A 27499-nucleotide genomic window follows, 5' to 3' on the forward strand; every position below is an offset into this window, starting at 1 on the left:
GTGCGCCACTCACATGGTGAAATTAGCAAGCCCAGCTACTTTCACCATGATGGGGATGGGGTTTCACCATGTTGGCCAGGCTGGTCTCGAACTCCTGACCTCAAGTGAGCTGCCTACCTGGGCTTCTCAAAGTGCTAAGATTACAGATATTCTTAAATAAAATAGATATTTTAAAATGATCAACTCTTTGGTCTCCAAAAAGAAAAAAAAAAGGCAGTAAGAAGAAATTAAAGAATCAAATTTGGCCAAATTTCACTCAGTCTTCTTTCTTTCTTTTTTAGGAGTTGTTTCTAGGTCAATTCAATAACAATACAAATAAGAAAGTATAAGTTTTTGTATTCTACAAGGTGCAATGCATCCTTCTTGGCTGACAAATAGGTTTCATTCAAATAATATACCAGTAAATTTTGTATTACATTTCATTACTGGTAAGGTTAAAAGATGAATTTTATAACAGGCACAAATAGGCACCAGTGTTTTCTGTATTTTATCTTAATGAATCTCCATGATATTCCTATTTTTAAATATTTACAGATGGTTAGAAAGGAAGGCTCAAAATAGTTAAGTACTTTGTCTGAGGTCTAATTTTTAGTAAATAACTTGTCTGTCTCATCCTACTCCAGTAAGCTGAAATCATCTGATTTTTGTGAAGCTGAAGTATATATGAGTGGATCCCAAAACCTTATTGCATAAGCATTGCTCCATAAACTAATAAACTACTCTTTGGAAAACAACGCTTTTTCCCTTAAATATAAGAAGATAGTTATAATTGATAAAATATATGGTTTATTTTTAAAATTACTAAATTCCTAGAAGCTCTGTTTCTCCAAGTCAAATGGCTGCTAAACCTATAACTACTATCAACATGGAAGCTCAAATATTAAAATCAGGTCCCTACATTCATAAAGGATGAAGGTGAATGTGGTAGAAGACAGCACTACAAGTCTACAAACAAAAAGAATACTTAACTTCCATTTCCTTTTCCTAGTAACTATTTTGAATCACATATTAGTTACATTGCTAATCACTTGACACAGAATGTTGGAAACATGATAGCAGAGTAAGGTTGACAATAACATATTTTATCCTGACTCTAGATCAGGGTATTTGAAAATGACTATAATCTTAGTAGAATCAAATAAATCTATGGTGAACTCCACTTCCTGGGCATTCTTAGTCAATCTGCTTGGGAAGTTCAGTATCATCTGAGTACGCCTACTCAATGCTGCATGTGTTGCACTGAAACAGCAGCCTATTGTGACGTGTCTGGCAGAGCCACATGTGGAGATTTTAATCCCTCACATTTTCTGAAGTTTGACTTTCAAAAAACCCAGAAGCCAAACATATGAAAAGGATTATTTTATACAAAAATCATATGGACACAAACTTAATTTTCCATTGCACATCAAACTAAAAATAAACAATAATTGAAGAACCTGGTTTTTGCAGACAGTTAAATTACTTTATTATTAAATGTTGCTAAATACTCAGTGAGTTACGACTGAAACATATTTCACACAAAAACAAAAAGATAGATAAAAATTATTCTCATTTGAAACTTTGGCAGTTTTAAAATATAATCTTTTTGGATACATAGGGGAAAGAGAATGACCTACAAATGGTTATTGTGCCAGTTTATATTTTAGAGCACATTTTATTTCTTAAAATGAGAGGACAGAGGAGCCAAAGACTCATTAAAGGTGAAGAAAAAGAGAAAAAGTAAACTTACAATAATTACTTCAAGAGAATATATTTTTCATTATATTGATTTTGAATATATTAAATACTTTTCAAATGAATGATTTCCCAGCACTGATGATTCTGTAGGACTGATAATAATATTTACTTCACAGATTAAATAATTTAGAAAAAATTACTCAACTAGGTAATATATGTTCACATAACGATGTCTCCTTTCTGTTTTCCTTCTTTGATGCTGGCTAAACAGACCAAAATAATTTCTGATTTAGAATAATACTACACTGCAGGGTGATATAAACAGCTCTTTTATCACAGGCGTCCAACCTTCAAACAGTGAACTATATCTACCCCTACCATATTTTAAGGTACTTTAAAGTGAGATTTTATTTACATGTTTTAGAAACTAAAATCATAATTGTTGTTTAACTATCACTTCCCCAAATCTGAAAAATAAATAGGTTAAGAAGTTCTGAATTCAAATGACTTGTCCAGGGATTTTAATATTAAAATAATCTATAACCTAAACTAACCATAATAGTAGAATAATTAACTATTAAAATGACAAAAAAATCTTTGCAGAGGTAATAAGGAAATCATCTTCCAGAACAATTATAATTTATCCCATTTAATTCACAAGAAATGGATGCTTTTATCATCCCATTTACCATAGGGATATGGGTAATAATACAGTCAAGTGACTCACCCAAGTTTATTCAGTCAGTTAGTAATAGGGCTACGATTTCAATCTAGGTCATTTGATAGCAAAGCTCTTCTCACCATAGTTGATATCTCTGAGTGTTTATTGTTAGTATAGATTGCAAAAAAAAAAAAAGTCACTGTATCCTCATATGTGGCAACAACAGAATTAAGAGTACAAAGAATATACACATACAATACTAGAATACACATATGACAGTGTACTAGAATACACAAAAGCAGTTTCTTAGATTTGGTTCAGAGTAGAATCACTGGGGAAATTCCTATTAAAAATGTCCAGGGGCCAGCTGTGGGTGGCTCATGCCCATAATCCCAGCACTTTGGGAGGCTGAGGTAGGTGGATTGCTTGAGGTCAGGAGTTTGAGACCAACCTGGCCAACATTGTGAAACCTTCTCTAAAAAAATACAAAAATGAGCCAGGCATGGTGGTGGGCATCTGTAGTCCCAGTTACTCGGGAGGCTGAGGCAGGAGGATCACCTAAGCCCGGGAGGCGGAGGTTGCAGACAGCCAAGACTGTGCCACTGCACTGCACTCCAGCCTGGGTGTCCTAGCAAGACCCTGTCTCAAAAAAAGAAGTGTCCAGGACTCAACCCAGGGATTCTGATTTGGTAGGTCTAAAGTGTGGCTCCAACTATGTTCATTCACCAGACTATAACCTAAAAAAATGACTGAGAACTGCTGATACACAGAAAAGGAGGTCTTGCTACAGGAAAATGGGTTACCCTCAAAAGAATAAAATGGGTAAAGTGGCCAGGCCAACCATACTGCTCAACCCAGGAACCCTGATATACCTCTAACCTGCCTAACACAAAACCAAAACGTTTAGAGATCTAATGGACAAATAAAAGAGCTTCTATGCAATAGTATGAGTTAGATAAAAAATCAAATACTTTGTACTGACATCTTTTAAATATTTTTTTTGTTGTTGTTGTTGTTGTTTGTTTGTTTGTTTGTTTTGACAGAGTCTTGCACTGTCACCCAAGTTGGAGTGCACTGGTGCCATCTTGGCTCACTACAACCTTCGCCTCCTGGGCTCAAGCAATTTTCCTGCCTCAATCTCCAGAGCAGCTGGGATTACAGGCGCCCGCCACCATGCCCACTTAATATTTTTGTATTTTTAGTAGAGAGGTGGTTTCACTATGTTGGCCAGGCTGGTCTCGAACTCCTGACCTTGTGATCTGCCCACCTCGGCCTCCCAAAGTGCTGGGATTACAGGCGTGAGCCGCCGCGCCCGGCCTTAAATCTTTTAAAATATCTCAAAAGTTAATTAAACACATTCCTTATAAATAGTCATAACAAGGAACATAGCCATTGGTCATATGAGTTAATTCTCACACAGATGACTACAGTCCACAGTGTAATTTTATAAATTCCTTTTACTTCTTGCATGAACAAAGGGCTTAGTTTGAGTATTTTCCAAGAAGTGTCAAAGGCAAACCTTTGAAGGTCTATTAAACAAACAGGACAGTTCTTTCAACATCTGTGCTTTGAAAACCAGGTCAACGCTACATAGTATAATCATAACATCATACCTTTCACAAACATGAAAAATGGATCCACGGATTTACCTTAAAATAGCTCTAGAATTTTTCATTTTGAGAATTTGATGATATAATATTATGACAATGATATTACAATTTGAAAACAAACAATGTACACAACTCTGGTCAGGGCTGTACTAACTAGAGTTGTATTATAAGCTCACTAACATATAAAGAAATTAGACAGTGGGTGGCATTCCTAATTCCATTCATGATTCGTTTTCTTTCATGGATTGGTTTAAAAGATTATTAAAATCATTCATTCCCCCTCATTGTTAAGGGACAAATAGAAATTTTCTTCAGCTACATATAAACTTCCCATGGTGGCAATTTTTTGGTGATAGTGGGAAAGTCCTTGGCCTGTACACCCTTCCTCTGTTTTTCAGATATCAGGTTCCATTCCTCGATCACAGTGGTAAGCAAAGGCCTCAGGCTGGTGATACCAATTACTGGTACCAGAATACACAGATGACTAATGTTGGGGAAACTGGAATCCTTCCTGGGATTTTCCTACCTGGAGCTGGCAGGGGAAAGCTATTAGATTGTGAGATGCCAAGCATCATGTTTGCTCTTGCACAGAAAAAAGATTTGTCTGTAAAGTAGAAAAATAAAACAACCACACAAAAAGAAGCAGAGAAAAGAGAACCAGAGCACACTGATGGCACTCAGTCATTAGTTTCACTTGGCTTTTAAGTCTGATCCTGCCAATGCATTTTCTATGGCTTGAGCAAATGAGTCAATGAGTTTTTGCTGTCTTGTTGTTACTCCGTGAGTTTCTTTTGCTTGCAATGAAATAGTCATAATATACTAATTTCCCTATTAATTCCAGCTTTTCCTCCCTTGGACTGTGTCACCATGGAAAACTTGCTAGAAATTTTATGTTATCACTCCTCCACTTCTCCATTGCCTTCAAGGCTCTCTTTATCTCCTTGTCTTCCATTAAGCCTTGTTAGACCAATATCATCCATGTCCCCTTTGTACTGAAAAAAAGACCTATCTTCTTATCTATGACTAATACTCAATTATATACCTTTCATATATATATATATATGAAGCTATATATATATAGAAGCTATACAAGAAGCTATATATATAAGAAGCTATATATATATTATATATATAAGAAGCTATATATATATTATATATATAAGAAGCTATATATAATATATATAAGAATATATATAAGAAGCTATACATATATGAAGCTATATATATATATATATATATATAGCTTCTTAGGTTAATAACAGCTTGAAGGTAAACTTTTTTGCAATCACCACAGATTACTATATACTTCCAAGCATACAAGGCAATTAAATAAATTCTGGCATACTTTTCATATTTTTCAGTGAGAACTGAGGAAGTAATGTTAGCTAAAAATTTAATTTATTCAGATGAAAAAGGTTACATAAATATCGCATATTTATCATATATCGGTTCTCTGAATTGTTCTAAAGTTTTTATTCTAAACAATAATGTCTGAGGTGGACATGTAGTACAGTCACATTAAGTTTCTTAGAGAATTATTTTCAAAACTCTTGAGTGTGTATCATATTTTCCTTACAAATACGTAATCAGCATTGTACAACTTTGGTCTAGCAGAAAGTTATAAGACTGAGTAGATGAGCTACCAAAATGAAACTGTTAAGTATTCACCAAATCAAAAGCATTTTTCTTAAAGCAAAATATTCTTCCTGTTTTAATTTCAAAAAAAAACATCATTAGCGAATAATTTTTAAACCAACTTATACCTAAATTACTTATCTTCAAATATTACAGGCATCCTGTATTATATTTGCATCATGGGCCAATATAACAATTTCTATTAGTGTACAAATAAAGTCCATGGTACTCATTTCTCTTGAAATACAACATTAAATGAATATGTTTCAACAATGTCAAAGAGGGAGAGAGAACGAAAGGGAAATTCCAGTGATTCAGAACTTTAGACTTAGGAAATTAAAAAAAAGAAGAAGAAAAAAAAGGACACTTTTCTTGATGGAATGTGTTTCAATTGAAAACCGAATCAAAACTCATGGTAGCGGCTGTGGATTCTTTAGACAGATGGTGTCAACAGACCAGTCGATTAGTCAGCTTGGCAATAGAAGGATAGATAGTTTTACGAAATGCCACCAAACTCAATATACGAAAAAAAGAAAGAGGCATGAATTTGTACTCTGATACTTGATCCTGGTTACTGCATGGTTTGTAAAATAGGCTACTCTTGTCACCAGCAGTTTAGAGTTTCCTCGTTAGATTTTCATAGAAATGGTTCTCAGAACACAAAGCCAAATCCCAGAAGGGACAGCTGGGTTTAACAGGTGAAGAGATCACATCTAATGGTTTTTCTATCCAAGTCCCTCTGCTGATTTTCTTTCTTGTTTTCATACCTAATATAAACTAACAGTATCTATTCCTATTTTTCAAAGATATATCATTTGAGAATGGATAAATGAAGACAAGCAAATATTGTACCCCAAATTTAAAAGTCCCTATTTATAAATACAAATACAATAATTTAATTTTTGGTTGCTCAAGGTAAAATTCTATATTAGATTACATTTAGTCAAGCTAAAACTAGTGTTCAATAATTTTTTCCCCAAGAGCCTAAGACCATGTCTACTAATGCTGCCAAATTAAATCAGAGCCAGAAAGTTTAATTTGATTAGTAATTTTCCTGGTGAGTTTGGGGCCCTTCTAATGTAAATTAGAATTTTTATTAAAATGGGAATGAAAGCAGGATACTGAGCCCTACAGAGAAAACAGTTGGTTAAGGAAACGGGTCCTGCCTCTAAAAAGTCTCTTAGACTAATCTCACTCTTATATCTTCAATTTATACTTAAACTAAAATATCTTCCACACCAGCTCTGACAGTAAAAGCCAGTTAAGTGTACATGCTAATTAGCTCTGAATATATCATAGCATGTGAAAGATTATCTCCTATGTTCATGTCTTTGCTTACATATAAGGGGAGTTTGATCAGATAAAATAACTTTGGTAACAATTTTATCAGTGGTTTCATAAAAATAAAGCCAGTATGCCTTCCTGAGAATATTGAGAGAGAATATTGAGGGCACAGTGGATAAAAAGAATGAGAATTGGTTCTTGGAGAGACTCTCAATTCTGCCATTTAGCTAGTTGTGTAAACCTGGGTGACCAGTTTCTTAACCTTAGTTTCCTGGTTTTAAAAAAAGGGAGAGGGGATAACCACTGAGAGGAAATGAAAGATAAGGTAGAAAAGACTTAGTAGAGCCAGACATAAAAACAAGCTTTTAATAAGTTTCTTTTCAAAGCTAAAGTTTTTAGATCACAAATTTCTAGACAGCAAATGAGCAATGTTGAGGTCAAGAAAAAACAGTTGTTGAATATGTGATTACATAAGCACTGAAATTAATTCGTCCACCTCTTCCATAGCCCAAGGTATTCTGCAACAAATACAAAAAGGAAGAAAAAAGTACCAACTCTTAAGTGGTGAACATAATTATGTTTCTATATTCATGTGATATTGCAGACCATTATTTCCTAACATTCAACTTTGATCCTGAAAATGCTTTACTTGGTTTAAGGCAGCATAAAGACCTTTACTCAACAAATACTTAAAATATACAGCATAACGTAAAAGTCAGCCTAATTTTGTTCTTTTGTTAATTGTGTTCTTGTTTTTGTGTTTTCTAAATCCTAAGTTTAATCAGAATTGGTTCTTCATTCTATTAATAGGCTATGGCATCGAATAAGTGCTAAGCAAAACAGACTCAGTGCAATACACATGTTAGAACTGCTCCAGAAAGCGCAGTCTCAAAATCAAGAGCAAAGAATTAAGGCACAGTACTGAGAAATAACAGTGGCAAGAAAAAAATGGATCTTCATCCTATACTATGCAACTGAGACTCAGGGTCATCCTGCATCCCAAAGTTCAGACAGGAGCAGTTACCTGAAGAATAGAGGAAAAGGATAAAGTAGCCCTAAATCATGTAGTTTCATTAGTACTGTTAGTGCCCACCCACTTCTTGAGCCTGACCTGAGGCTGTCTCCACTGTGCCGGTGAGTCTTTGCGCTTATCAGGAACCTATGAGACTGGAGATCCCTCAGGATTCCAGCCTTCTGTCTGCCCAGATTTACATGCAGCCTATATTTTCGGACAGAGCTTCTGGCTTAAGGCACATAACAAGCCAATTCTTACCTTTATGGTACCCCACAAACCCCTCACTAATTGTCAACAAACTCTTGGCCCTTTTCTGTCTCTCTACAGCAGCATTTGCCCAATTTTAGTTCTATCTCAATCCTATGCTGATTCTGTATTTTCATCAGTAACTAACTGAACCTATATACTATATATACAGCTATTCCTTTTTGAAGTCTTTCTTCACTTAATATAACCAAGGGTGTATTCCTTCATTGTGAGAACACTAATAATGAGTCCAGCAATTAAAGCACATGAGATAACCCTATGCATAAGAGAGCAAAAACAATATATTAATTTTCTCCAAAACGTCTTTAAAGACCACTATATATGGTTGCCATGTAAACTGCACAAATTATAGCAAACCTACGTATTACCTCCTTACATTTCAATGATAAAATCAGAACTTTGTGTAACACCAAGTGCCATTTTCTTTAAATTTCTTCATGCTATTTGAAAAGGGGATTCAACTAGAACTTTAAAACAAAACTCAAAATTGGTAAAACAAAAACAAAAACAAGAACAAACAAACAAAAAACACTTCTTTCTCTTGTAAAATAACTATGGCCATTTAAGCAGAATATTTCCAATTTTCTACAGATTAAATCCCAAACCACTTACCTTGTCAGTTAAAATCATCCACAACCTCATCTCAGTCTATCTTTTTAAACCTCAATTCCCACAGTTTTCCTCTAATTTAGAAAAATCAGATTACTCACTGAGATTCCCACATGCTTTGCTTTTTACTCACACACTTCCCTCATCCTAGAATTTCCTTTTCTTTCCCATTACTCTCCTTTTTACTCTCTTCTTCAAGATATATGATTAATTAAAATAACTTTTTCTGGCTTGAAATGATTTCTTCCTGAAATGTTTTAAATCATTTTCCTTTGTTCTCTGGAATAATTACTTAAATTGAATAGAATATTTATTTTCTTCTCTCAAACAGCAATGTAACCTCCTTAAGAACAGGAACAGAAATTTTTACATTTTCATATTCTAACTGTAGCAATTAGCAAAGGATCTTGATTCAAGCAGTCAATATATATATAATATATATTTTAAAAAAAAAGATTATTCCGTAAGCTACACTGAAAAGAAATAATGGAAAGTATAAAGGAAACTAACCATGAGAAAATAAAATCTCCTGATCCACCTAGAAATATATACCACAATGTTAGTGTCACACATTTGGAGGTTCCTTACTCCTACTCACTGAGGTATGCACTACTGCTCACACTGGTAATTAGGATCACTTAGGACCTTACTGAAACTCTCACCAGTCTCTGTAGGCTGAGAAAAACTACTTAACAGTCTATTAATGTTTTTAATATCTATATAGTAAGCTGTTTTAATGTATATAAATGAATTTAAAAATAATTATAATAGTGCCATCTAAACTGGCAAGACAAAATGTCCTGCTAATTATTTTTAAACATTACCAACACATTAACCATAAACTGCATGTATTCAAATCTGCAATATGCAGCTCCAGAATCTTAGTTATTTTTGCTCTTTTTTCAAATACAGAAGAGTCTCAGTCTAGTTAGTTAAAGATTTCAAAAATTATCAGATTGAATTGACTGTAGATGATATTTTGATTTCAGATTTACACATTATAAATGACCTATTGGTTCACAGATTAAAAAAACCAGTAAACATATATGCTTCCATCTAGTGGCCAATTCAATTAACCAAGGTAGTGGGGGGATGGAGAAATGAAGAGGGAAATCCATGTGTAACTTGCAATCTCCTTTCAACCAAATAACCCTGTCCTCCTTGGACCAAGTTTCTAGACTAGGTGTCTTCAGTTTTTACTTCTTCCATAGACTGCTGCTTTACATTTGTTTGAAATGCTGAGAAATGACAACACTGGTATTAATAATACTAATGGCGACAGGCACTTTGGGAGTCCTTATTGAACGCCAGGCACCACACACAGTATTGCCCATATTATCCCTAAGCTTCACAGTGACATTATAAAGTAGGTAATATTATCCTCATCTTGAAGGTAGAGAAACCGAGACTCAAAGAGGTGAAGGACTTTCCCTAATGTCCCATACTAGTTAGCAGCACAGGGATTCAATTCACATCCAGGTCTAGTTCTGCTGGTGCAGAGCCTTGTACTTTTTCCATAATATTCTGCACGATTAAAAGGAAGTACAGTATATAAAAAAGAAGTAAAGGGCCAGATGATCCTAAAATAGATCTTCGCTCTCAATAATGAAAATCTGACTTTACTTAAACTGAATGAGTTAATTTTAAAGTTCTGTAGACTGTATTCCCACCATCTCCCTCCCAGCTGAGGTCAGATACAGCTAGAAATCTATTCTCCAACTATTTACAAACCTCCTTATCAACATTAGTACTCTTCAAGTTCTGACATCTCCCTTCAGGGCAGAAGTATTTATTTAATTATCAAGTACAGCTTGAGGAACATCAGGCTCTTATTCATGGTTAAGTAATTAAAAACGGAAAACACATCACCAAGTGCCTAATATATGCAAGTATGAATTGGTTCAATTGGTGAATGTTTCCCCAGACTGCATTTGTTTCTTATGGACGGGTGCTGTGTTCCTGTCCATGCCTCATGGCTTTCAGGGTTTGCTAATTAGTGCTTTCCTAATCCCATTCAGAAAACTAGAGCAAGTTTGTGCCATTCCCCTTCCATAAATGAGTGGTCACTGAGATTAGGTCAAGCCAGCTCAGCCTACAATAGCATCCTTAATCAGCCAACGTGAAATAAAAATGAGGAAAAAATCCGGGCTTTTATCTCACACTGTCTTTGGAGCTAATTAAAATGCACAGGCTCTTCCTGCCGTTACAACCCTGCTGTTCCATACACTAATAAGGCAACAAAAGGTGCTGAAAGCAATGGACTGAATAATTGTTGAAATTTACAGTCCCTTTAAGGAAACTGTTAAAAGATTTCTGTCTCCTCAGCAATGTAGATAAAATTCTGACAAAGTATCACTAAGTAAGATCTCTCACATTTATATTAAGAATCTCAGAGATTTGGGGAAACTTAGGATACTATAAATTGATGACTGTTTTTCCTGACACTGTTTTACTTCTTTAGCTTTCAACCCCCTTTACTAACCAAAGAGTTAAAACAACACTATGTTCATTGAAATCTGTCCCCAGAGTGCAGAGGGAGCTCTGCTGTTTTAAGGGGGTCTATGAAAGCCCCCTGGCATAAGAAACAAAAAGGTGGGAGGGGGAAGTGAGAGAAGACAGGATGCGGGCAGAAGGAAAGAAAATGAATACACACACAAACACACACACACACACACGAGATCTACTTGGGCTCACACCCTTCCTAGTCATTTTACCCGCCAAAAATAAATCCTTAAATTAATAATCAACAGTAATAAAACTGCTTTCTAAAATAGAAAAAGCTTTTGATCTTCCTGTTCCCTGCCTCAGGGTATTCCTTATATTTATTAAAACGCACCTTGAGCATGTTACAAGTAAAACAATAATTTCCTACACTTTAATACATGTACAAGCATATAATTTAAGAAAACATTTGCCGAGGGACACCATATGTTCCAAACACATATATTCAATTAAATTAATGTTATAATTATATTTAAAAATCAATACATTAAGTAAGAATTCAGCATGTTCAAAGAGGCACATTAGCCCAAAACTGTAATTATAAGAAACTGACCTACCTTTCTAAGACTGAGCAGGATGTTAGATGTCTGGACAGATGGTAAGGATTACAATCACCACTCCTTGCCTCCTGTCCCACATGTACCTCAAAAACATCCATACGAACAACATACAAACTTTCATCTGTGTTTGGCATAATGTCACCATGCCACAGCATTATGAAAACTTCAAGAGGAATCAACTACTTTCATGAACCTACACAAAAACTCTAAATATTTTAAAAATATAAATACACAAGGTTACCATTTTAATAAAGCATTCTTTTCCAACAGGAGAATATTCTTTATACCAAAAACTTAAATATCTTCTTGACTATCTTCATCACAGGTTTCCACATGTAAAATTGCTGTTTCTCTGAAGTCTGATATTCATTTAACACAAACACCGTAACAATAACTACTAGTGTTTGTAGCATAGGAAACTGGTTGAAAGATCTTCAGTTAAAAACACCACCACCACCAAACTTTCCATCTTATGTGGAACTTAGTTTCCTAGGTCTTTTTTCCCCCTTGCTTTGGTATATGTAATTCTATAAACCTCCTCAAAACACTTCAGTCCATGGAAATAAATAAAACTTACACCCCTGGTAAATACAGCTAAGATAACTCATAAAGAGAGATAATATTAACTATGAGGAAATAATTATTGGAAATAACTTGTGAGTTTTAAAAATATTTTAATTTAAACTATAAACTACTACCAACATCCAAACTGTTGTTACATTCTAAGTCATCAAAGTCAGAGGATGATGACAGTCATTCGTATAAAACATGGGATATGTGTTATATGTGTTAACTTAATAGTTTCAGCAAGATATGAAATAGATATTACTGTTTCATCCATTATAGAAATGAGAAAACTGGAGCATAAAATGTTTAAAAAAATTCGACTTTCCCAAGCTCACATGGCTGGTAATTGGGCATTGAGTATGCATACTTAATCATATGCCATTCTACATAATTAAATAAATTATAGTATATTACAGTTTATTTTATAGTACCCTAAATAATAGTAATGGTTCACATTTATAAAGGGTCATAGACTATGAATGTTAAGATCTTACACAAATTCTCATTTAAATCTTTCAAAAGCCCATTACCATCACCCTCTTACATGACTATCAACCAGCATCTCAAATAACAAAGAAATGCCCCACATTCACTACACAAAACTCAGGAAGCAGTAGCACTTATGTCTACATTAAATACTGAACTTCTTGTTTTAATTGTGGTAAAAAACATAATATGAAATTTACCATCTTCATCATTTTTAAATAGACAATCCAGTAGTGTTAAGTATATTCACATTACTGAGAAACAGATCTCCAAAACTTCTCTTAATCTTGGAAAACTGAAACTCTATATACTCATTAAACAACTCTCCCTTTTCCTCTACCCTTAAAGTAGTACCAGGGCTCAGAGAACAATACCCGAAGTATAGCACTTTGTCACACTGAGCACTTTTGGATTAAAATAAATTGGAAGGGCTTGAAGGCCGCCTCAGAACCAAGGACTTCCCAGCCTTCTCTCATTTCTCCGCTCCCATCCCCTGGCCCCTGCCAACACACACACACACACACACACACACACACACACACAAAAACACACCCACAGTGAGGGACTTTCCCTAGAAATTCCTGAATCTGAGAAAAACTTCTTCCCAATGAAATCCAACTGTCTTAAAACCCCCACTGCAGGAATCTCATAAAAAACAGAAAAGATTAACCACCCAAGAAGAAAAAGACTAAAAGTTGTTGCCACATCCAGACAGCCTTGTTCTGTATTCTACTGAGGGCAGCTCCCAGAGGTTACCTGGGAGACATTATCTGCATAATTAGACAACCTTTGTTCACAGGAAAGTTCTACCTCTTGCCTTTCCAAAAGTTGTCATCACCTCCCGCAAGAGCTCTGAGGACATTTGTCCCAGGCAATCCTGTGTTCTTTCGGCTCACTGATTTCTCCTAATAATCATTTACTACCCCTCGGAATTACCTACACCCCAATTCCTTCTCCTTTATGAAGAGGGGTATATAAGTACCTAAATCTCATTGGATTATTGAGTAATCACTCTCCTATGATTTTCCCGCCTGCATATTAATACCTTTGTAAGCCTTTTCTCCTGTTAATCCATCCATTGTCAGTTAATTACAGTGAAGCTTCAGAGAGGACAGGGGAAGTGTTCCCTTCACTCCTACAGTATTCAAATAATGAGCATTTTTGCATCATACACACGTCTATAAACAAACACACATACATCCCACCAAATGCTAGTACTGGGTTTAAAATTGCATTTTGCTTTAGGAAAATAATATCTTAAAATTATAGAAATATCAGAGATGCTGACTTAAAGTCATTTACATTGTAAAAGTAAGCCCCATAGCTGCCTTTTTGTAAATTTTACTTTTTTCTTTTTTTTCTTCAAGATGGAGTCTCACTCTGTTGCCCAGGCTGGAGTGTAGTGGCGTGATCTCGGCTCACTGAAACATCCACCCCCCAGGTTCAGGAGATTCTCCTGCCTCAGCCTCCTGAACAGCTGGGATTACAGGCATGCACCAACACGCCCAGCTAATTTTATAGAGATGGGGTTTCACCATGTTGGTCAGGCTGGTCTCGAACTCCTGACCTCAAGTGATCCACCGGCCATGGCCTCCCAAAGTGTTGGGATTACAGGTGTGAGACACCACATCTTTTTTTTTTATTTTTTTGAGACAAAGTATCACTCTGTGGCTGGAGTGGAGTGGCATGATCATGGCTCACTGCAACCTCTGCCACCTGGGCTCCAGGGATCCTCCCACCTCAGCCTCCCAAGTAGCTGGGACTACAGGTGTGAACCACCACACCAAGCTAATTTTTGTAGTTGTTAAAAGAGATGGGGTATCACCATGTTACCCAGGCTAGTCTTGAAACTCCTGAAATAAAGTGAGTTTTTACATTTTCAAACAAGAAAAACAGCTGAGGTCACTGGGAAAGGTTTTAATGTGCTAATCGCAGCTATCTATTAGAGCTAAATGTCTGAGAAAGGGAAATTTGAAACTACGTAACAACAACTAAAGAACAAGTTTACACACTCCCTTCTTTTCACCTTCTCCCCCTATACACACATCTACAGGCTAATTTCCTAAAGGGAACACAAAAACAATTTTTAAATTAAATTACCACATGCACCATATTTTTCTTCATTGCTGAAATGCAAATGCAAAGAACCCTCGAAGACGTTTAAAGAATCTGCTTCTCAATTCTCAGAGTTCAGGACATTTGCTATAATGCTGATCAAAGAAGCATTTTGTATTTAAATGGCCATAAGATTCAAGTATTCAAACTTTGCATAATAAAAAGGTAGAACAATCTAACAAAACTAATAACGTAATCTCTATTTCAGAGGCTGAATCACACTTGACAATATAGAGAATAATACAGAAAATTACAAAAAAGTTAAGCAACAAAACACAAAAATCTTTAACATAAAGGGATAGACAGGTCTGATTTTAAAATAAATAAAAAGGCAAGGATGTGACCACTGTCACCTATAAATACAAATATTTGAGTACTTAAGTACTTGAGAAACTAGCGCCATCTTGGTTTCAGCTGGAGGGCGACTGGAGTGGCAGGGGTAAAGGGTGACACTGATAGGTTTATTGAAAGTGAGGAAGGCAAGCTTCTTAAGAAGAAAAATTTAAGGCCAAATGGCTCAGTTCAGTTAGTACAAGTAACTTGTAATGTGGAAGTGGCAAAGTCCAATAAGGTGAAACATAAACATGGTTAGGAGAATTCATGCTATTCATGCATATTATCCATGAATCCATGCTATCCATGCATTAAAAATAACATCATTAATAACGAAGAATAATATAAAAAAACTTACATTATCAAGGCTTTGTGCCAGACACTGCTCTATGCTATATTAATATTTTACTTTATTCCCTCAATAATCTAATGAGAGGACTGTGGTGGTGGTGGTGATGATGAGGATGATGATGATGATGACAATGACCATGATAATTTTATATATCCACTTTAAAGAAAGGGAAATGGAGGCTTATAGATATCAGGGGAGTAAGTTGAGGCAGTCCGACTCCTGAGCTTGTGTTATTTCATGAGATGAAGAAAATTAGCAGTTATTGCTAAGCTTGCCTTTCCCAAACCACAGCTGAGATGATTCAGAAGGTAGATGAAGGGAGAGAAGCCAGCTAAGAGTTTGTTTCAATAAACATCAGGTTCACAACAGAAGGATGTGAGAAGTATACAAGCAAATAATCAATAATACTTACACTGGGAAAATAAAAATGAAGCGAAAAATGTTATAAAGGTATTTTAATGCCTTTCCGGTCCATGCTTTCAGTGTATTTCTCTGCTCTTTTAGCTCTCAGAGCGGTATGATGAGTGAGCATGATGTAGTCTTCCCTATTCCTCCTCTACCCCAGAAAGGTTTTCCTTGTTCTTAGTTAAGGATGTGGAAAAATGGGCCATTCGGACAGCTGGCTAAGAGATGAGACTATGTAGGCAACTACAACAAACTTGTTCCAAGAAAGTAAAACAAAGTGATGGCATTAGCATAAAAGGGCAGTATTTAAAAGGTGTGAATGTTAAATGGGGAAGAGAAATACAGTTGACCCTTAAACAACATGAGTTTGAACTGTGTGGGTCCACTTATACGTGAATTTCCTTCAGCCTCTACCACTTGTGAGACAGCAAGGCCAACCCCTCCTCTTTCTCCTCCTCCTAGCCTACTCATTGTGAAGATGAGGATGAAGACTTTATGATGATCAACTTCCACTTAATGAATAATAAATATATTTTATCTTCCTCATGATTTGCAGTGGCTCGCACCTGTAATCCCAGCACTTTGGGAGGCCAAGGCAGGTGGACTGCTTGAGCCCAGGAGTTGGAGACCAGCCTGGGCAACATGGCAAAACCCCATCTCTACAAAAAATAGCATGGTGGTGCATGCCTGAAGTCCTAATAACTCTGGAGGCTGAGGTGGGAGGATCGCTTGAGCCCAAAAAGTTGAGGCTGCAATGAGCAGTGATTGCACCATCGCACTCTAGCCTGGGAGACAGAGTGAGACTCTGTCTCAAAAAATAATAATAATATTTTCTTTCTCAAAGCTATTTTATGTAAGAATACAGCTTATAATACATATAACATACAAAATACATGTTAATTCACTGTTTATGTTATTGGTAAGGCTTCCAGTCAACAGTAGGCTATTAGTAATTACATTTTCAAGGAGTCAAAAGTTATACCAGGATTTTAGACTGCACGAGGGGTCAGCACCCCTGGCCCCAGTGTTGTTCTAGGGTCAACTGTAATTTTATTTGGTAGCAGGGTTTCTCAGACTTGGCACTACTGACATTTCGGGCCACATCATTCTTCATTACGAAGGGATGTAATGTACATTACAGGCTATTTAGCGGCATCCTTGGCCTCTACTCACGAGATCCTGGTGGCAGAGTTGTAACAGCCAAAGTTACCAAATATCCCAGGACAACTGTTTTAGACAGATTTAATGTATTTTAATTTAGTTTTGTTTATTATTAATTTTTATTTATACAGAGCAGTCAAGATAAGATTTGCAGACAGTAACAAGGCTCGAAATTCAAACAAAGCCTGGGAAATACATGTTGCTAAAGTATCATGGAAATTCTGCCTAGTCAAATATCAGCTATACAGAGTTAAGATTCAAGTTATGTGGATGATGAAAACCCCAACAATGAAAAGAAGGAGGGGCAGCAGAGCCCAAGACAAAGCCTTAAGGAGATAACATGAAGTTAATGATCATGCACAAGAAAAGACATGAGAAAAAAGTTTTGAAAAGGAAAGAACAAGCTTATGGCATCTCATCTTCTCCAGAGCCATCAGGAGCTTGAAGAAGGGTGTAATCAGAGGCAGAGTTCACGGGAAGGTCCAAGAAAATGAGAACCCAGATGATACATTTGCTTTGAGCCAAAAGGGAATGATAGGCTATCTTAAAACGAAAGGGCTCTAGAAAAGCATTTCAAGCCACCACCTCACCATTTGGTGCCCTGGATCAGTCCTTAATTACAATCATGGAATGAAAGAGTTAATGTATATTCTAACATGCTTGGGTCACTAGCAATTACTATCAGCATAGGTTATAATTCCATGGCAGCATTCAGTGAGGAAAAAAAGAATAAAACCTTTTTTTTTTTCTTTTTTTTTCCTGAGTTGTGGATGCAAACCAGTCAACCATACTGGCCAAATCCCAACTCTCAAATCGCTTTGTAATATATACTATTCACCCAGCCTGGAGTCTTCAATGACAGCTATTCATGTGTCCCAAGCTGATCAAATGCAGACCATAGTGATGGTTCAGCACTACTTGCCCTTATTGAACGAACAGAAAATGTTTCCTTCTCCATCTGGTGCACAAACTCTGCTGCTTCTTTTAGACTTTTAATGGAGTGTCCTCTAAATGGCACATCAGAGAAAACATTTTGATCTGAAGAACATGTATAGAAGGCAGCTACTTGTTCAGCAGCAACCCTGGCCTTTTGGGATATGTGAAGTCTTGGTTCTGAATACTGGGGTTGACGGGGGAAAAAAGCTTTTACTGCTATTCTAAACACCCCTTAGTCTCCTTTGACTCAAAGCCGCTAATTATGCCAGGCAGGCTGAATGATGAGTAGTGGTTTTGTGATCCCAACTATTGTTCAGTAGGGCTGAGATCACCAATGCATTTTACTAGGTATAGAGAATTTGAAGGGAAAAGTCTGAGTACTTATTATCTCTTTGTTTTCTTAAACAGTGCCTATTTACAAACTTTTCACTAGTGAGTAAAAACATTTACTGGCAATAAAACACAGCAGTGTTTCTGAATGTTAACCTCTCCCCCCAAAACATGACGAAGTACTCTAAGTTTCTGGAAGGAAAAAAAAAAACTGCTTTTTTTTTTTTTTGTGCCATAAACACAGGGTGAGGTGATGGAAAGGAAAGAGTAACACGTTTTAAAAAAGAAGAAGAAAAAAGAAAGAGTAAGATATTTAGAAATAGTTTTTTTTAAAATAAGTATATGTTTCTTTGGAGCTACCTATACTACAAAATTAAGAAACTATACATTGCCTTTACAAAACCACAATAAAGTAAGTAAACAACGTATCACAACACACACGCAACAGATGGGGTTTGGGGCAGGGAGACTCTTAAGCCTCAAGAAATTATATCAGCAATAAAATACAGGGCATAAGAATGAAGAAGAGTGAAGGCAAGTAATAAATCCTGTGCTTTCTGAGGGAGACTAGCCATCCTTCCTTTAGGCAGATATTTATTTTCTAAGAAGTGAGGAGGGATACTGTTAAAACATTTATAGTTTTAAAACATTTTAATTATCTCTGGTCTTTGCCTTCATAAAGGTCCTTGAGGTAAAAGCCATGAGGTGTAGGGGAGGTGGAGATGGTGAATGGGTACCAAAAAAATAGTTAGAAAGAATGAATAAGACCTAGTATTTCATAGCAAAACAGGGTGACTATAGTCAATAAGAACTTAATTATGCATTTTAAAATAACTAAAAGAGTATAATTTGATTATCTGTAATACAAAGGAGAAATGTGTGAGGTGATGGATACCCCCATTTACCCTGATGCGATTATTACACATTGCATGCCTGTATCCAAATATCTCACAAACCTCATAAATACATACACCTACTATGTACCCACCAAAATAAAACATAATTATATTATATAAAGTTGCTAAATAATTAGAACTGTACCCAAATATAAATAATAAATAATTGATGAACAAGATAAAAAGTGAAAACACACTTGTTTTCTACACGCAATGTATATTCCCTTAATAACTTTTGGTGAGTAAATAGACATGGCAATGTCTTCTTTAGCATCATGGATAGTGAAATAATCTTGGGAAAGAGCTGTGATCATGTACACAACCTAACTATCCAAATGTCATTTTCACTTGAGTGGACTTTAAAATCTTGCTCTCTCTCTTTTTCTCTCATTCTTTTACAACTTAATTCGAAGTTCCCTTTTTGTCAGCGTTTTCATCACAATTAAACAGAGCTACGAACTAAAAGGCAATTTTTTACTGAGAAATGTGTTTATCTCACAAAATTACCAGACTTCTCTGTCTGGTGCAATTTTAGGGAGGATTTCAATTAGCAAAAATTCAAATTGAAAGAGCTATGAAGATGGAAAAAGAATAACACCTTCCCTAACTTACACAACATAATTCTCAAATCTCTATTATTTTTGTGGTCTAACATTTCCCTTAGAAGGCACACTACATTACTTTTATCTCCAGAGACCTTTTATCCCCACCTGCTGGAAGCATGAAACATAACTGGGTCCAAGATAATCATTGACACATTTCAGGAAGAGAAAATATTTACACAAGTTAGATTTTAAAATCAACTGTTTTAAGCTATATCCTTTGGTGCATTATTTCTGTCACTGAAGTAATTCACAACTCTAAAACTCTTTGTTTTGTAATTGTTACAAGGTTTATTCTCTTCTATTACTTTTACAGATTTAAAATGGGCTGTTACATTCCATCAAAATTGTCAAGCAATTATTTTGCAAACCAAATAAAGGAAACATATAACAGTTGTATACTAGCCAAATTATGATCCTTAGGAAAGACACTGGTATGGAAAGATCACATATCACATACCTTGAGTTATGAGGAATGTGATATACATTGTCTGTCATATACCAAAAAAAGGTGCTGGGATAAGAGCTTCGAAAGTAAGATATCAGTTGGTATCACAAAAGTAAAAAGTAGAAGAGACAGGCTGGAAGGTGTAGGGAGAATAGAGGGAAGGGAGAGATTTGTTAAAGGATATAAAATTACAGGTAGATAGGAGGAATAAGTTCTGGCATTCTATACCACTGTAAAGTAAGTTCTAGTGTTCTATACCACTGTGAAATGACTATAGCTAATGATAATATAGTTTCAAATAGCTAGAAGGAGGATATTGAAGGTTCCTAACACAAAGAAATAATAAATGTTTGAGAGGATGGATATGCTTACCATACATTATATGTATTAAAACATTATTATGTAGCCCATGAATATAAAGTTATTCTTTGTCTATTTAAGAAAATAAAATTTAAAAATAAAAAAATTTAAGGTCAGGCACGGGGGCTCATGCCTATAATCCTAGCACTTCGGGAGGCCAAAGCGGGTGGAACACTTGAGGTTAGGAGTTTGAGACTAGCCTGGCCAACATGGCAAAACCTTGTCTCTACTAAAAATACAAAAATTAGCTGGGCATGGTGGCGCAAGCCTGTAGTCCCAGCTACTCAGGAGGCTGACGTGGGAGGATCACCTGAGCCCAGGAGGTAGAGGTTGCAGTGAGCAGAGATTGCAAGACTACACTCCAGCCTGGGTGGCAGAGTGAGACGCTGTCTGAAAAAAATAATAATAAATAAAAGTAAGAAATTAACTATTTTTAACAGAGGAATACAGCTTTCTTTGTCTAGGATATAACATTGAGTTTTCTCAGTGGGAAAGAAAGCAGAAAACAGCTGCCTTGCATTTTCCTTCTGTTGTATAAATTAATTGTCATTGTTGACTATTCACTAATTTACTTCAAAAAAACCCTATATACCATTGAAAAAAGATACTTCCATTGGACAGGAACATTTTTGAATTTAATATATAAATTAAGTTAATGCTCTTCTGGATTGTTTAAATATAAATGTATATAATAAATTATTGAGTGGAAGCCTAAAAAAGTCCATAGAAAACCAAAATAAAAGTCCATAATGCGTATAAAAACAAAATATTTGCCTTTTGATTAAAGAATTGTACACCTTAGTGGTGTTTAATAATAGCAAGAGCCACTGCAGGAAAAAAGAAAGAAAGGAGAAATTATCAGTCAACATTAGATTTCTCTTTTAAACTAACTAGAATTTTAAAATTTTTCCTAAGAAAATATTTAATACACTAGAATATTTTTCCTAATGCACTAGATTTTGTTTCCCCCTTGGTGTTCTTTCAATCATTGTTGATTGGCGATATGCCATTTTGGTCATACTGAATGTGTAAGAATAAATGAATAAACTGTTTTTTGGCTAATATTCCACGATGTTAAATTACAAATTTCCTCCAGCATTTAAACAGGAGAGCTGTGGAGTGTCCCTGCCAAAAGTTTGCCACCCGCTACGAGCATATATTTCAATGAATCTGAGACAGGTTCTGGCAAACAAGTCAGTTTTCCTTGTTAGCTAATTATAAATAAGCAACAGTGAAGACAAGTTGGTAATATTACCATAATTTATAACTAATAACAAAGCAATGAGATTGGATTCATATTTTCAATATATACTTATTGAATGGTTATTATTTATAAGTATTGTACTTGGCACAGGAGAAATCATAGACAAAAAATTTAAGCATCTTCCATCCTCTTTCAAATCTACGTTTAGTTCACTCTAAAGAGAGTAAGGTATGTATATTCTTTCTCAAATCTCCAAATCAGTTCTTCATCTTTAGTTAGGCTTTATTAAAATTTAAAGAACACATTTTATACATAAACTAAAAAAAACTACATACCAGGCTATTTTCAGTAACTAGCACTCATAGAAGTCCCATCAATAGTTGCTGAATGAGTGAAAAGAACAGCAAAATGAATTAATTCTGGATTTACATATTTATAAATGAAACTTAGCAAGCAAGCTTAATAAAATAAAATGGCAAATATAAGCTCTTACACATACAGTTAAAATAAGTATAATTTAAATTGCCTTTGTAATAGGACTCAGTCTGTGGTTGTTCCATTTAAGGGTCTAATAAATCATTGTGAAAACATTAGCACTGTATTCCAACCAACCATGTTAATTATTACAGGTAATAACCTACATTAAAAAATCTAAATATAAATTATATTATGGATAGGATTAGCAATTGATTAAGGAGGCAGATCAGGCACACACAATGCCTCCTCTATTTCTGAAAACCCACTGAAATAAATGTGCAAAGGTACTAAAGGAAAGTCCTGAGATGGAAAAACAATTGGGGTAGGAAGATGGGTACCACCAATGAACAAGAGATATTAGTACAATTTGAACATGTTCAGGAATTAAATAGAGCTGCAGCTTAGAATCTGCTGCAAAAAAGCTCTGGAAAATGTAGAAGTGTGTTGAAGTAGCTTTGGAAACCAAGATCCAAAGTCAGCAGGAACTTTGGAAGATGGATGTGAAAAAGGAACTGAAGACACAGATTAATTGAAGGTCTGTATAAGGACAAATCTTTCACTTGTCATCCCCTCCCCAAATGCAGGCAAAAATCAGGCAGCTGGCATTTACCTCCAGCAAAAATAGCTGACCCTTTCCCAGTGAAACTGAACAAACTACCAGGTGAAACCTGGTATAATGCTCACTATTTGATTTGAGTGATCCTGTATCCTGACAGCTGGCTTCCTGGCTTCCTTGCTGATCCCAGTAAAGCAAAAGTCTCACATTTTCTTAAACAGAATTCTAAGTGATAATTCCACATGGGAATCAGTTGTAACACAAAAACAGAGGACTTTGATTAACGATACAGTTGCTTATTCCATAGGAAGGATTATCAGACATACGAGAAAAAGCAGCAGGATGAGATGGAAGGGCCAAATTTAAGAAGCTAAACATTGACACCAGAGGAAATGGAGCTAACTCAGGCATCATAGAAGAAATTATGGAAAAAAATACTAGACAATAAACTCTGAAATATTTAGGAAGATATTCTATCTACAAAAAAAAACCAAAATGCTATGAAAAATGAATAGAGAACTAGCACATACTTGTAGAAATTAAAAGTATGACTACATTTTAAATTATGGCTAAAATTTAAAATGAAAACTGTGTCACAGGCCTACAAAGAAAACAGTCCAGATTATAATGTAATGATAGAATGCTCCAGGATAATAATTTCTACTAATAAGTGTAAGACTGAATACAATTATTTGACAAAGAACGTGGTGCCATATGCCTTCCTAATGGATTTCATATTGTTTAGGCATCCATGGCTACCCAACATGTTTCAGGTGAAAGTGATACCAATCCTGGATCCTGGTGTAGATATCATCTCGCTAAGCCAACCTCCACATGTCATTTCCTTGGTACGTTTATTGGTGCAAAGGTAGTATTTATCTGAAGGTGGCTCAATAAGACTGATGGGAAGGGCTTACATTGTTAAGCTGGAGGAGGGTTTCCTCTCACTATTGCTGAAAGTGAAAGAAGGATCCCTAGTCACCACTAGCAACAATTTTGCCTAAACAAGGAAAAGTAGTCCTGAGTAGAAGCAGACCCTGGCAATGGCAGGAAATATGCAGTGCTTGATGACATTTGTGAGCAGTTTGTGTCACTTGAATTATTACTTGTATGACATAATACATTTACTTACTGTTTAAAACAGTGTGAGTCAAGGTGTGCTGTGGCTTGCTAGTAAAAGCTACACAATCCCAAAGCCACTGTTTAAACAGAATACAAATACCCTTGGAGTTGTGGCCTGTGTCAACTTTGTCTTAAAGGCATTTAAAATCAAGACCAAGACAAGTAAAAAAAGAGTCTAGAAACACAATATTATCACACATTGTTTCACACTAGAAGACATTCATGAAATTCAAGCATGTCTGTGTACACCTAGTGTTTTCCAGAGCAACAAAACCCTTGTTCAAGGAAAGCTCTGAGGTGGATCAGATTCTTCTATTTACCAGAAGCTGAAGCAGCAGTAAGGACAAAAGAACACGCCAAGATTTTCGTAGGAGATGCGAATACATATATCTAGTTGGCCATGGAGTGGCAGAAAAGCTGAACAATATTTTCTCTAAGTATTTCACAACACTGAGCCAGACTTTCTCAATTCTCCTCTCATAATCCCACCATTTATAGAATCTAACTCAATTTTAAATCATCAAAGGAAATCAACTCTGAACACAAGAGGACTGCATTCAAGCCAAATAATGTAAAATTAGTTCACACTTGTGAATCTGACATGTTCTGGAATCAGACATGTGTGGGTGGATGGATATGATAAAAAGATTAATTTTAACAATAAGATGCTCAAGGGTGCATGCACAAGCACAAGCACACGCATACATACATGCATACTTTCAAAACGTTTCTTTAAAAATCCTACTTAACAAGCATACTCAAATCCTAAGTAAACTGCATTGTAAGGAGACCTTATTTTCCCCCTCATAGTTGTAAATTCCTTGAATTTGAGTCAAATTTAGGCAGGAATACAAAGGCCTAAAAGCCTGCATTTACTCACTTCTTTATTTAAGTGGAGGCAAGGGTGTAATACACTTATATATGTAGTTGAACCCAGTCAAATCAGTTCTTAGACTTATTAGAGCATGACACTGTTGACACAAGGCTAAGTGAAAAGCCTTGACCTTTGCATTTCCGCCATGACCTCAGGGACTAGACCTCGTCATCTCACCCCAACCTTTACAACGTGAATCACACCAGATCGGGTGGCTGTGTTTTTTGAAGGATCCATTGGCCCAAATGAAAACTATTTACTTTGCCCATAATTGTTAATTCCTATGAGGCTTTTGCTGTGTTATTTAGTTTTCCAGGGCTTCCAAAGTGAAATCTATTCTACTTCTGTAAAAACAAGATGTTCTCTAAATTCTTTAAAGTTTGCATCAAAATCTGTTAAGCCAAAATGGTTTTTTTTCCCACAAAATCCTGTCACATTTTGACAGAAATTCAAATCAAAGCAAAAGTTATGTGTAAAAAGGGTGTTAAATATTAAAGGAAAAGAAAGAGAATGGTTATTTTACTAGATACCAGCTTTAAAAAAAAAAATGACTAGGATGTTATAGTTCCCAGCACTTACATGAAGTTTCTCATGAGAGGCCTCAACAAATCTAGTCATTTCAGCCAAATTGATCTATATAGATATCAGACTTTATTTCTCATCTGCCTTTAAGATCAATATAGATACAGAACAGAGTTTTAAAAGGAAGCTTTCGCCTTTTAATTCCATTCCTGGATGGTCACAAGTAACCTTATGCCCTCAAACTCCATTCCTCGACTGATATCCAGGCTCCAAGATTTGAATTCAACCAGCGAAAAGGAAAGGGCTGTATCAGATTACCCCAAGTATTTACTGAGATAAATGGTGAGGATGGAAGCATTTTGGGGGAAGCTGGAGCTATTAAAAACAGTGGAGAAAAAAGGGCAATTTTCTCCTCTAAATGTGCGCTACCATATTTTATGGAGGTAAACCACCTTCTTTATGTAAAAGATAGTAAATCTGTTGATGCCATTTGTTAGGATAGCGTTATCTTAACAAAGGGCATGACATTCAGGGTTTAAAGTATTTAAATCTCAGCAATGTGAAACACGGCTTTTAAAAGAACTTTCAATTGGAAATACCGAGTAAATGGGTTCACACAGCATGAATTTTATTGTAGACCAACCTAATTTTCACATTTTCCTCTCTAAAACAAGTGAGTCATTTGTTCTCTGTACTCATAATGGAAAGAAAACAAGAGTTTCTTTGTTTGTGTACATTAACTCAATGCTGTAAAAGTCATGCAGCCAAGCTTCACTATACTTTCACCTTTAAACCTTAACCTGACTTGTAACAATATTTGTAGCCTCTAAAATTACACTGGTTGAACCCAGACGGAGTTAATCACCCTTCACTGTCTCAGTGAAAAGTATAATGACCTACCATTTAATGGGAGGCCATTAAAACGCTAGAAGGGGCAAGAATTCACATCGTGTGTTTATACATACCTCACAGACATGAATCCATACATTCAGCCTACCAGGACAGTTTTCATATGGCACTTGCTTAGAGAACCAGATGGAAACTAATGACTGCTATACACTCGAAGCCAGAAGTGTCTATTCTGCTGTCTTCTGTAGTGCACCTTATACTTTTAATACTGACAAAAATTAATTCTAACCAATTCCATCTGTAACTGAACAAAGAATAATCCAAATCAAAGTTGGGTAACTGATGATATTCTTTTCTTTCCGTAACTACCGTTGCTTCCAACACAAGGCACATTCATCGCCAGGAGCCTTGATTTCTACCTGCAAAGTATGTCCCAAATCCTGCCTTCAGGAATGCTACATTGCACAAATCCAAAGGGTGATATCTTATCACTCATGGTGCCTAGGCTTGCTCCACAGGGTGGTTAATGACGCCAGCAAGCATGATGAACCTGGAACCGAGCAACACAGAGCCCTGCACTGCTTCTATCCACCTCCCTGGCACCATCTCAGACAGAGCCATTATCAAAGCCTTCTAAAGTGATCTCTTAAATCTCTGCCCCATCTCCACTCTTGCCTCTATAGCCCGTCGATCGGGAGCATGTTGGGTAATCTTTTCCGTTTTTAAAGTAAATCATGTGACTCTTCTGCTTAACACCATCTTAATTCACGTTTATGTTCTTTAAAAAATTCTAGGTCTGAAGACAACGGCTCAGGCTTGTAATCCCAATGCTTTGGGAGGCAGAGACCGGAGGATCACATGAGCCCACGAGGTCGAGGCTACAGTGAACTATGATGGTGCCACTATACTCTAGCCAGGGCAACAGAGCGAGACTCTGTCTCCAAAAAAAAAAAAAGAAAAAAAGAAATTAAAAAGTAATAAAAAAAAGTCCTTACTAGGCCCTTCAAGCCCCTAAATTAGAGAATAAAAAGTGTGTACCTACAGGATCAGGTAGTTAAGTAAGAGCAACACAGGCCAGACATTC

The 27499-nt window shown here is 35.9% G+C and overlaps 1 protein-coding gene across 17 annotated transcripts in view, besides 3 other annotated features; it reads right to left on the minus strand.

Annotated features, from left to right (window-relative positions):
• Positions 1 to 27499, minus strand: part of ROBO1 (roundabout guidance receptor 1) — a 1170760-nt gene that overhangs the window by 371171 nt on the left and 772090 nt on the right. The window lies entirely within an intron of this gene.
• Positions 24719 to 27494: an enhancer, noted in NCBI's record as "VISTA enhancer hs1475". NCBI's record gives its function as "enhancer in: limb[5/5] | branchial arch[5/5] | tail[5/5]" and the evidence as "EXISTENCE:transgenic organism evidence [ECO:0001131][PMID:17130149]".
• Positions 25106 to 25250: an enhancer, noted in NCBI's record as "145 bp enhancer 273 fragment used in the MPRA reporter construct; PK_construct_1713". NCBI's record gives its function as "activates an SV40 promoter by MPRA in HepG2 cells {active_cell/tissue: HepG2}" and the evidence as "EXISTENCE:reporter gene assay evidence [ECO:0000049][PMID:23512712]".
• Positions 25171 to 25184: a transcriptional cis regulatory region, noted in NCBI's record as "HNF4 motif; MPRA enhancer 273 activity is reduced when this motif is scrambled". NCBI's record gives its function as "necessary for full MPRA enhancer 273 activity {active_cell/tissue: HepG2}" and the evidence as "EXISTENCE:site-directed mutagenesis evidence [ECO:0005528][PMID:23512712]".

Source organism: Homo sapiens, chromosome 3 (genome assembly GCF_000001405.40).
Source record: "Homo sapiens chromosome 3, GRCh38.p14 Primary Assembly".
Classification (NCBI taxonomy): domain Eukaryota; kingdom Metazoa; phylum Chordata; class Mammalia; order Primates; family Hominidae; genus Homo; species Homo sapiens.